This window comes from Homo sapiens, chromosome 9 (genome assembly GCF_000001405.40).
Source record: "Homo sapiens chromosome 9, GRCh38.p14 Primary Assembly".
Lineage (NCBI taxonomy): Eukaryota > Metazoa > Chordata > Mammalia > Primates > Hominidae > Homo > Homo sapiens.
In genome coordinates this window covers 122651049-122663319 of record NC_000009.12, presented here as the reverse complement: position 1 = coordinate 122663319, position 12271 = coordinate 122651049, and the positions used below count along the sequence as shown (strand labels likewise).

General features: G+C 37.6%; 2 protein-coding genes across 3 annotated transcripts in view; one reads left to right on the top strand and one right to left on the bottom strand.

The window, feature by feature from the left end:
• On the bottom strand, window positions 672–1604 carry OR1L1 (olfactory receptor family 1 subfamily L member 1). Its single transcript, NM_001005236.3, has one exon. It carries the CDS (start codon window positions 1602–1604, stop codon window positions 672–674), a length of 933 nt encoding a protein of 310 aa, NP_001005236.3.
• OR1B1 (olfactory receptor family 1 subfamily B member 1) overlaps window positions 5693–12271 on the top strand; it is a 29503-nt gene continuing 22924 nt past the window's right edge. Inside the window, exon 1 of one of the 2 annotated variants that reach the window (NM_001004450.3) lies at window positions 5693–5788. The gene's annotated coding sequence lies outside the window, so the exon portion shown is untranslated. Of the gene's footprint in view, window positions 5789–5872; window positions 5957–12271 lie in introns of those variants that run through there. The other variant, NM_001409693.1, reaches the window with a different exon arrangement.

Below are 12271 nucleotides of genomic sequence, written 5' to 3'. Positions count from 1 at the left end.
AAGGTTACTGGGACCTAACACATACCTCCCGGGAAAACAGTGCAGTTGAGTTTGGGTCAAATGAAATTAATGAGAGATTTAAGGTACAGTCAGCTTTGCCAGGTGGGAAGCAGGAAGAATACTGAGATGCCATACTCTTAGGAACCTGACCTGGCACTGATTCACTAAGAGTTATCTAGTGGGATGATTTTATTTGTTGAGACTATGACAACTATAGAAGCCAGGCTTTAATCTTTGAGGAAATGCAGAGGAAGGAGTCACAGTTCTGACATTTATAATGGGAGAAAGAGAGAGACCTCGTTATTGAGGAGCCCCTGGGCTAATATGATGAAGCGACACACACACACATACACACACACATGCACACACGCACGCACACACACACAGAGTAGCTCAAAGACATTCAAGCAGCTTTACATTACTATACAAGAAAACCCAGCTGCATGAATAGGGATACTCAGGAGATTACAGTGATCCAACTTAGTTTGTAGGCATTATATTCAGGAGTAGCTTCAATACATGCAATAAACATTCTTCTGTAAGGAATGAAACACCATCATTGAAGGTACTATCCTTTCAGAATCTAATAATCATTTCAGAATCACATACCCATTAATAACCTATAGTCCAGGGCAAGAGATCTGTGGTATTCTCTTAAGACCTTAGGTCTTTTACTGACATTTCATCCTGTGCATCAACTTTGCCAAACCCTGCTTCATGTCTTTGTTCCTCAGACTATAGATAAATGGATTTAGCATAGGAGTCAGTACGGTGTAGATAATTGTTGCTATTTGATCCTTGACAGTATAGTTGGACAGGGGCTGAAAATAGAGATAGCTAATGCTTCCATAAAACAGGGTCACCACTGTGAGATGAGAGCCACAGGTAGAAAATGCTTTACGCTTTCCAGCAGCTGAAGGAATCTTCAGAACAGTGATGAGGATTCTTAAATAAGAGATGATGATGCATGAAAACGGGGTCATTATGACAGCCAAGCCTTCTGTCATTACTGTGATTTCTTTGACAAAATGGGAGGAACAGGACAATTTTAGCACTGGTTGATCATCGCAGAAAAAGTGATGGATGACATTTGAGGCACAGAAGATGAGCTGATTAGTCAGAAGAATGTGCAGGAGGGAGTGAAAATGTGGAATGCAGAAGGAGAGAACCAGAAGCAGGACACAGCATCTGTGACTCATAATGGTGATGTAGTGGAAGGGATTACATATGGCCACATAGCGGTCAATGGCCATGGCTGCTAGCAGGTAACTGTCTGTGTTTCCAAAGGCTAAGAAAAAGTACATCTGGGTCAGACACTCACTGTAAGAGATGGTCTTTGTCTCTGATAAGAAGTTCACCAGCATCTTAGGGATAATGACTGTCACATAGCAAATGTCAACAAAAGACAGGATGCTTAGAAAGAAGTACATGGGCGTCTGGAGACGAGTGTCTGAGCGGATGGCCAGGATGATAAGCAGGTTTCCTATCACTGTGATAAGGTAGATGGGGAGGAACACAGCAAAGAGCGGCTTCTGATCCTCAGGTCGAGAGGAGAGTCCAAGGAGGATGAATTCAGAGGGTCTTGTTAGGTTATTTCTTCCCATAGTTGTGGGTTCACCTAAAGATAAACTAACACTGTAACAGATTCTTCCAACATCTGATACAATCTGTCCAAAATTTCTCCTTTTATTCTTCTTATCAGCAAAGAAAAAATTTAAAACATTACAATTATCTGGATTGTGGTTTCTTTCCATTAATGTGGGATATTTAGAAATTAATATATATTTTAATCTCAGTTGCCTGCTATAAAGAAACAAATTACAGGGAAACAGAAATGGGAAAAAGAGAAAAGAAGAGATATAGGGCAAGAGGAAGGAGTGAGTGCAAGAGAATTCCCAGAAGGAGAGGAGGGGAATCCTGGAGAAATTATTCTCTTCTTTTTCTGTATATATTTATCGTATTCACGGTTTTCAGTAATTAGTTTATGACAGGTTTAAAAAAGTTTCATCTCTCAATTTCCAGCTGATGGAATAATGATTTCCCTTAGTTCGGATACTTCTGTCTGCATCAGTTATTCTGGAGGCTGGCAATCATGTAAAAAGACATTGAAATATGAGATTACCCAACAGTTACTCCATTTCCCTCATTTTTTAGTGAAACCTTATTTGAGTGAAAGGATAGGTATGAAGAGGCAAAAGATAGACAGAAATAACAGGATAGTAAAAACATTTCTTTTCCTTATTTTTTTTTTTTTGAGACAAGGTCTTGCTTTGTCACCCAGGCTGGAGTGCAGTGGCACAATCTTAGCTCACTGCAACCTCTGCCTCCTGGGTTCAAGCGATTCTCCCCCCTTAGCCTCCTGAGTAGCTGGGATTACAGGCTTGTGCCACCACACCCAGCTAATTTTTGTATTTTTAGTAGAGATGGGGTTTCACCATGTTGGCCAGGCTGGTCACGAACTCCTGATCTCAAGTGATCCGCCCACCTTGGCCTTCCAAAGTGGTGGGATTACAGGCATTAGTCACCGCACCCGGCCAACATTTCTTTTAATGTAACATAAACCTCATTTTTGTTATCCAGCCCCTAAATGCTAAAATCGTCATTGTTAGTGCATGCTTGTCTGTGTTGGTGTAATTCTTTTCCCAATTCCAGTCTCAGTTATATATATGCTTCCCCAAAAAACCACACAGAGAAGGCACCTGATTCTAGACAAGCTTTCAACCCTCATGAAGCTGAAGATTTTCCTCTCTTCCTCCTCTGGGCCTCCCACATGCTGAAGAGATTAAAGACACTCATAGACCCCACCCTCTGTCAAGGGAGCATCCTTTGAGATCATCAAGAAGTCCCTGGAGTTCAGATGGAGAAGACAGCAGAAAACAAGCCAAGAACTATTACGGTTTTGGAGTTTCTTCCCCAAGGAGCCTGGGGAGTGTCAGTGCCTTCTCTCTCTCTCAGAAATCACCCTCCTGACCTAACTCCTTTTGGTGAAAAAGACCCCACCTGTGTGAGGCTGGCTCAAGTGACAGACTTCCTGAGCCTCACCGCTGTGCTGCTTACATTGAAAGACAGAATGTGGGGTTGGAGAACGTTTTCTCGGAATTCGTTGATCATCAAGCTAAAACAACTAGAACATCTTATGCCACTAGTCACTTTCCCATCTCCCAGTGTTAGAAGCAGTCCCTTGCTAGACACTGTTCTTAGAACTTTAAAATATAATAAGCAATAGGGTTAAGACTTTAGACCCTAGGCCTGGAATCTTTACTCTTCTGTCTGAAGCATCCTTAAGTCTACTTATGTATGACCCTTGCTTCTCACTCAGGAAAGCCATCAGGGCATATATATATAGCGTTAGCTATTAATTTTATTACAGTTGTAACACACAAACATTAAGCAAACCAGATCGATATTTTTATTGTTAAAGCAACTTTCAAAAAAAGTGGTTGGGGCCGGGCGCGGTGACTCACGCCTGTAATCCCAGCACTTTGGGGGGCCGAGGTGGGTGGATCACGAGGTCAGGAGATCGAGACCATCCTGGCTAACACGGTGAAACCCCGTCTCTATTAAAAAAATACAAAAAAATTAGCTGGGCATAGTGGCGGGCACCTGTAGTCCCAGCTACTCGGGAGGCTGAGGCAGGAGAATGGCATGAACCTGAGAGGTGGAGCTTGCAGTGAGCCGAGATCACGCCACTGCACTCCAGCCTGGGCAACAGAGTGAGACTCCGTCTCAAAAAAAAAAAAAAAAAAAGAAGTGGTTGGCCACTCTAGTTTATTGTGTGGATCTGTTTGAAAGTAAGAAAGTAATCCTCACTGGAACCATTCTAGAACTCAGATTGTCATGTATTTGAAATGGCTCCTGCTCTCACTACTTGAAATTTAAGGTGATGTTTGTTTTCCTCCTACAAAGAGATGGCTCTAAGCAGGTGGAAGTGATGGGGGAGGGATTCTGACAGATGAGCTGAATGGATGAGAAGGATAAGGCTTCTACTCTCTTATTTCTTCTTTTCTTTTTTCTTTCATTGTGGTAAGAAAACTTAACATGAGATCTACCCTGTTTACAAATTTTTAGTTCACAGTATCATTAATAATAGGAAAAATGTTGCATAGCAGATTTCTAGGACTTATTCATCTTATATAACTGAAAATATATTTTCCCTGAACACCAATTCTCCATTCCTCCTTCCCTCCAGCCACTAGGGACATATATTTTATATTTTATGGCAATCCATATTTCTGGTCATTTGGGACATCTCACTTTGTGTGTATGATATAATTCTCAAATTAGGACTTAAACTTCCCCATATCCCAGTACAACTGCAATCCAAGGTTATCTGATTCCTTCTGACTCATTGCCCCTCACCCATTTAGACTATTGTGTCTTTGCTTATCCTTTCCTTCATCTATTAAACCTAACCTGCAAGGCTCGAATTCAGCCTCTTCCAGGACACTTTGCTTGATGACTACCAGTTGAAATGGCTTTGTCTCTGTCCCCACTTAACACTTTGGACCTCCATTCTATGCAATATCTCAATCTGTTTGTCTTATTGCTTAAACATTAATTTTTAAAAATCCCAGACAGCAACAATTCAGTGAGTGCTTGCTCTGTGCTAGGCACTCAGCTAAACAAATTAGATGTAATATCTCATCTATTTATCTCAACACCTTAATGAGGTAGGTGGTCTGATTTTCTTTACATTAGAGTTGAGAAATCTGAGCTCAGAGAGGTGAAGTGAGCTATCCAATGTAGAACAGCAAGTAAGCGACAGAATCAGTTTTGAAACATCTCATGAGGTTGTTTAACTCCTGTTTAACTCAGTGCTCTTAACCTGCCACTCTATTGCTTTTTTATGATGCTAGCAAAAAGATTTGGATATCATATGCTGAGTAACAATTCCCAAATAAAGCATAGTGCCAAAAATATAAACTATTTCTTGTTGATTCAAAAAAGCATATTAGTTTAAGCTGTCCCTCCAGACTGCATACTCCTTGAGATCAATAACCATGCCTATTAATATCTGATTGCTCTGATCAATTTATTAGTTCATAGGCATTTATTAAAGGCTTATTATGTGATGGGAATTGTGATGGGTACTGGAGAAACAGTGGAATATAAAATAAAGTCAGTTTCCACCCATGAGTGGCTGATCAATGTCTTGTTCAAAGTAGTGGTTACTCAACAAATGAGCTATTTTCTCATTTTTCTATTTGTGGAAATTTGAAATAAAAAATGTAGAAAGGTACAAAGAGGAAAATAGTAATCATTCATGTTACCATCACCCAGAAAGGTTTGCAACAATAGCATTTTGCCCATTTTCTCCAGCCTCTAAAAAATTCATTTATTCACAAACCTTTATAAAATACTTATTATGGGCCATGAACTCTTTTCTATGTGCTTTATAAGTATCGAGTCACTTTTACTGTCCTCGTAACCCTATTAGGTAGGCATTATTCTTACCTCTTATTTGCAAATTGGGAATCCAAGGCACAAAAAATTGAGTAACCTTCTCAAAGTCATCCAGCTAGTAAGTGGATGAGCCAGGATTCAACCAGGCAACCTCACTTCAGAGCACATGGTCTCACTATGTATGCTATGCTTTATGTCTTGCCCCCCAAATAATACATAATTATAGGTGAATATGTTGCCCTTTAAAATGGAACACTACAAATAAAGATTGTCCTTTGATTTCTATCTCAGGTCTGGAGGTTTGCTATGTTTTTGTGTTCCGTGAGTGCAAATATCAATCTGATCTCAAGACTACTATTGCTGGTAAAGCAGAATGGACATTGCAGTAAGTATGTTTTCACTTTCTGTAATCTGTTCTAAAAGCCCTTGATCTACTTCCAGCCAGTCCTTAGCTGGGAAACATTACAACACAGGCAGGAACAACATGGACTGTAGCGTCAGACATCTTGTCTTGAATTCTAGGTCTGCTAATAACCAGTTGTAGTATCTTGGGGTGAGTTACCGAAACTTTCTTTGCCTTGTTTGACTCTATGTAAAAAATAGATAATAGTAGCTGCCTCATAATTGTGGTAAAGATTTAATTATGTAATATGTGTAAAGACACTTCTGGTAAGTTCTATATAACAATTTTCTATTATTTGTATTTTTATTATTTACAGTCTGAGTTGGCCAGAAAGTCTCTGATTTCTCCAAAATGATAAACCTCATACTAAAAGCCTCTTTTGTAGCCTAAAGGTCCAGGAGATTGAGGACACCCCCTGACATTTGGAATAACCTGAGAAAGATCTTCAAACATATTAGTAGTCAAAATCTATATAAAAATGAAAAAAAATTAAACTAGAAATATGTATTGAATCATTTAATGCATTATATTGATAACTTTTAAAGAAAAAAATCAGTTGGACCCCTCAGTTGATTTAAACTATTTTCAATGATGTTACTTAATAAAAAAATGTAGTGCCAATGCTTATAGCTTTTATATAATCATATAACTAAAATATGTTATAAAGTAAATAAAATAAAAGTACCCATTCAATAGAATTTATGTTGTAATTTTTGATTTAGTACTGTTTGGGTTTAGGAATAGAAAGTCATGCCTCAAGTTCTAGTTTTAAATTTAACTTTAGTTTGTAGACTGTGAAATGATACTGTCTTTGTCCATTTTCTGCTGCTGTAATGGAATACCACAGATGGGGCAATTTATAAAGAACAAAAGTTTATTTGGCTCATGGTTTTGGAGGCTAGGAAGTCTGAGGGCATGACACGAGAATTTGGCAAGGGTTATCCCATTGTGGAAGGTATCACATGGTGAGGAAGTGCATATGTGAGATACAGAGAGGAAGTTGGGTCAGACTCATTTTTTTTTTTAATCAGGAACCCACTCCCATGATAATTCCTGCAATAACAGCATTAACCTATTCATAAGAAAGAGCCCTCCAAGGGTTCATGAGAAAAGATACCTAATCTCCTCTTAAAGGCCCATCTCCCAATACGTCGTAGTGGGGATTAAGCTCCCAACACATGGACTTTGGGGGACATCTTAAAACCATAGCAGATAATAATGAGAAAATTGTCTTTGTCTATGTATAATATCTGAAATCAACAAAGCTTCAAGGATTTGTTTCCTATCTTTGGATTAATAAATTTTTTGAAGACACGTGTTGCCAGAATTGTGCCCTGTGCCATCTTCTTCATCAAATAACAACAACAACAACAAAAAATGGATACAACCTATTGAACACAGAGTACATTTCAGGCATGTAGTAGCTACATAAATTCCTAGAGACAGATCCTATTAGTATACCCATTTTGGAAATAAGGAAACTGAGTCTTACTCATAGAGGTAAATGATATTTCCCCATGTAATATTATTGGTAAATGTCAGGGCCAGGATTCAATGCATGTTCTTGACCATTACACTAGGCTACCACTTCAAGGAAGACTTAGGTAAAGTTCTGTCATTCTACGTGTAAAAGCAGAAGAAATTTCACAAAATAGGACTTTTTTTTTTTTTTAATGTTAAGCTCTGGGGTACATGTGCAGGATGTGCAGTTTTGTTACATAGGTAAAGGTGCGCCACGGTGGTTTGCTGCACCTGTCACTTAGGTATTAAGCCCAGAATGCATTAGCTATTTTTTCTAATGCTCTCCCTCCCCCCACCCCAACCCCCAACAGGCCCCAGTATGTGTCATTCCCCTCCCTGTGTCCATGTGTTCTCATTGCCAGCTCCCACTTATAAGTGAGAACATGTGGTGTTTGGTTTTCTGTTGCTGTGTTTGTTTGCTGAGGATCACGGCTTCCAGCTCCATCCATGTCCCTACAAAGGACATGATCTCTCATTCTCATTCCTTTTTATGGCTGCATAGTATTCCATGGCGTGTATGTGCCACATTTTCTTTATCCAATCTATCGTTGATGGGCGTCTGGGTTGATTTAGGTAAGGCTCTGTCATTTTATGTGTAAAAGTAGGAGAAATTTCACAGAATAGGACTTTCAAGGAGCCGGTAATAGGAGGGCTTTGGTCAGGAACAGTCTGGACCCCACTGAGTAGAGAGGACTTGAAGGAAGATAGATCTGTGGGGAAAATTTAACTCCCAAATTAGTTAAAGGTGGATGCTGTATTTTCCTTTTTTCCTTCCTCTTTGACCCCTCATCACACATTCTTTCTTTTGATATTAAAAAGTTGTTTTAGTGCTTTGAAAATAATGTGCCTGGGGGAGCAGGGTGAATGGTGCAGTGAAGGACCTGGAATGATGGAGAATTTTTCTTAAATGTTTATTTTTAGTTGACAAATAATAATTGTGTAATTTATGGAGTACAATGTGATATTTTGATGTATGTTTGCAATGCTGGATGATTAAATCAGGCTAATTAACAAATCCATCACCACAAGTAATTTTCAGTTTTTGCTGAAAACATTTAAAGTCTTTTAGTAATTTTGAAATATACAATGCATAATTATTATAGTCACCATTCTGTGCTATATTATTTAGCCTTACAAAGGGGGGAAATCCTGTTATCTGTGACAACATGGATAAATCTAGAGGACATCATGCAGACTGAAATAAGTAATGCACAGAAAGACAAATACTGCACGATCTCACTTCTATGTGGAATCTAGAAAAGTTGAACTCATTAGAAGTAGAAAGTAGAAAGGTGGTTACCAGAGACTGGTGATGGAGTTGGGTTGGGTGAAGGGGACATGTTGACTGAAGGGTACAAAGTTTCAGTTAGACAGGAAGAATAAGCTTTAGGGATGAAAAGTTTTGATGAAATAAAGAAGGAGTGGTACTTTCTTCTCTGAAACTCTAGGAAAGACAATGGGAAATTTGGTATATCTTCAGAGGTCATTGAAATGAAAAACAAAAATATTGTCAAAACCATAAGAAATGGACCCCATCTGGTTAGAGCAGAAAGAAGGGGAGTATTCTTGATGCAGCAGAGCACTGAGTTCCCACGAAGGAAACAGCTGGGTCTTAGGAGAGCACTGGAATCAGATAGATGCTGTGAGCAAGTCTCGCTCTGGATACCTTCTCCAAGTTGTGGTTCAGGAAAGAACCTACCTCTTTGTATAGTCTCAGTCATGCATCAGGAAAGTAGGGCTAATAAAACTGTCCTCATTTGTAATTGCACTCTTCCCTTTGATTGTTTACATGACACTTGAAGTTATGTCTTATCTTTTATCCTAGCTACAATGGAAGCTCCATTAGGTACATAATTATTTATTTTTTTCATCATTGCATCCTCAATCCCCATTAGAGCCCTTTTCACATAGTTGGTGATCAATTAAAAAATACATAGAGTATGGAAAAGAGTCTCTTTTTCTGGAGCATGTTTACTGTGTTGATCTCTAATTTATTTTTTGAGCATATCTTATGCTCAATATTTGCCTTTTAATACTGGAGAAAATAAGTATTTAATAATATGTTAAAGAGATTTGATGGAAACTAAATTATAAACACTCAAAAAATGCATAAATGCATGAATTGTCTAGTCCAGAATCTTTGTTAGTAGGCTCTCAATTAATAAGAGCTCTTTCTCTACTGTCTGAGGGGATCTTGAGTGTAAGCAGGTTGAATAATATCCTTACCACTTAAAACCCCTCTCTCCTTAACAAGAATAAATTCCTTCAGATATTACCAAGGGAAATATTGTGAAGTTGGAGAAATCTGTTTTTATAACCTCAATTTCAGCCAGGGGGAAGTGCTATGGTGGGTGTTTAAGAACACAGGCTTGGTTTCAGACAGATGAGGAACTCATCTTTCTGAAACTTTTACATGAGACAGTGGAAGATCTCAATTTACCTACTGTTGAAGGATACCAACAGTAATAGAATGTCTTATATTGTATTTACCATGTGTCAATCTGTGTTCTAAGAATTTTATGAAAACTTATTTAATAGTAGCAATATTATGAGACAGGGACTATCTTCCTCATTTACAAGTAAGAAAATTGAGGCATAGACAGGTTAAGATATTTTCCAAAGATCACACAGTTGATGGGTGTTAGAGCTGGGATTACAACTCAGACTTGGTTAGTCTAAACATGAAGCTATACTTCCTTTCATAGTACTAACTCAAAGATGCACTGTGAGCCTGAAATGAACAAAGCATTTAATACGTAGCATGGTGTCTGTCAACATTAATACATAATACATATTACATTAATACATATTAACTAGTGCTTTATCATCAGTACATTCTCATATTCCTCAGAGCCTTTTCTATCTCCAAGGAAAGTGTCCCTTTTCATCTTGGTCAATTTAAAACACTTATGACTGTCTGTTTATCTTGGGCTGATGCCAAGTCCTCAGTCTAGCTGGCCTTAGTCCTGAGTGCCTGGTTACTTTGAGCACAGTAATGCTGGGACTCCAGGTGGATCCCACATTGTGGAAATTACAGCCTAGTGTCACAGGCACCCTTAGCTTGGAGCAGGGGGCTTTGACTTCCCCACTGTGATTATAGGAGAGCTACATTCCGTAAGAGACAAGTTGAAGAACCAAGAGATGAAAGTTATTCCCCTATATCCTTCCAATCCCCAGGGATTTAAGATAGATAATATAATGAGGGTTAATTTTGGATCATTCCTTGATAAATCATCTGGAGCTGAAGTTATCAAACTTGAGCATTATACAGTTACTTTAAGATGAAAAAAAAACAACAACAAACATAGAACCTGAGTTAACCTGTTTTATTTTAAAGTCAGTAGAATATATATGAACAGAAAATTCTAAGCCCTAATGAATGTATCAATATACAGATTTAACTCTAAACCTGTAATAAAGATACAAATTAAATAAAGTATTGCAGACATATTTCAAAATAAGAACACTTATTTATGGAACAGATGATGTGGTTTAAGTGAAACTAAATCAATAACGGTGGAGTTGAAAGTGAGGGTTTTAAATTTAAGTCCAGGTCTGAACCTAATCTCTTCCTGGTTTTTGACTTTGCCGATACTATAATGCACACAAATCTTTAACAAAATGACATTAACTAATTTCAAGATTCTGTTTACTAGTTTCAGATAAAGCCAGATGTTTAGCCCAAACTTTTCTAGCAATCAGTCATATAAAATTAATTTTAATGAATATTAATTGATGACTTTTAGAAGTAGGTAAGTTGTAATATTATATGAATCTTTATTAAATAGTATCTGATACAGTTATTTCTGGAATCAGTAATAGGAAAACAGTATCTCAGTTTTCACTCATGACAGATATTGAAAAATATTTCTAATTTTAATATGGAATTTTCTGGACAATGCTTAAATGAAATAAAATACCAGAAATGATGCATTTTGGGAGGCCAAGGCGACCACTTGAGGCCAGGAGTTGGAGACCAGTCTGAGCAACATAGCAAGACCTTTTTTCTTCAATAAAGAAATTAAAAATTAGCAATGTGTGGTGGCACAGCATACTCAGGAGGCTGTAGTCCCAGCTATTCAGGAGGCTGAGGCAGGAGGGTCATTTGAGCCAAGAGTTTGAGATTACAGTGAGCTATGATAGTGCCACTGCACTCTAGCCTGTGTGATAGAGCAAAAGCCCTGATGTACATATATCTGAAATGATAATTTCAAAAATGAACTCACAACAAATAAAAATTGTTATAATTGGTTTTATTTTTCTGCAAATTGGAATGTACAAACTAGGAAACATCCTTTTCTTTGCTAATAAGCTAGTAAGTCCAGAAAAGTGAAAGTGATGAGTTAATTTCTCACTCTAAATCATTTTCTTAAGGTTGTATCAAAGTTTCTGTGTCTTAAAAAAATCAACAATATTTTGAGGTCTGGTAGTATGATGCCTCCAGCTTTGTCCTAAAAAAAAGTGGATGTCATAGAAATAAAAAGTAGAACAGAGGACACTAGAGGCTGGGAAGGTTAGGGGGAAGGAAGGTAAAGAGATACTTGTTAAAGAATGCAAAATTACAGCTATATAGGAAGAATAAGTTCAGTGTTCTATAGCACTGCAGGATGATTGTAGTTAACAGTAATACATTACGTAGTTTCGAATAGCTAGAAGGTGGATATTGAATGTTCCCAACACAAATAAATGACAAGTGTTTGAGATGATGGATATGCTAATTACCCTGATCTGATCACTATACATTGTACATATTGATCACAGTATGTACCCCATAAATATGTACAAATATTATGTATCAATTAACAAAACAAAATTAAATTTAGAAAAGTCAACAGTAAAAACATTTTATAAAATATGTTTTAATTTTAAAAATTTAGTCTTTAAACCTAAAATGTTCATCAGATATATTATGAAGAATGTTGGATAATTATTTCATGTTTACTT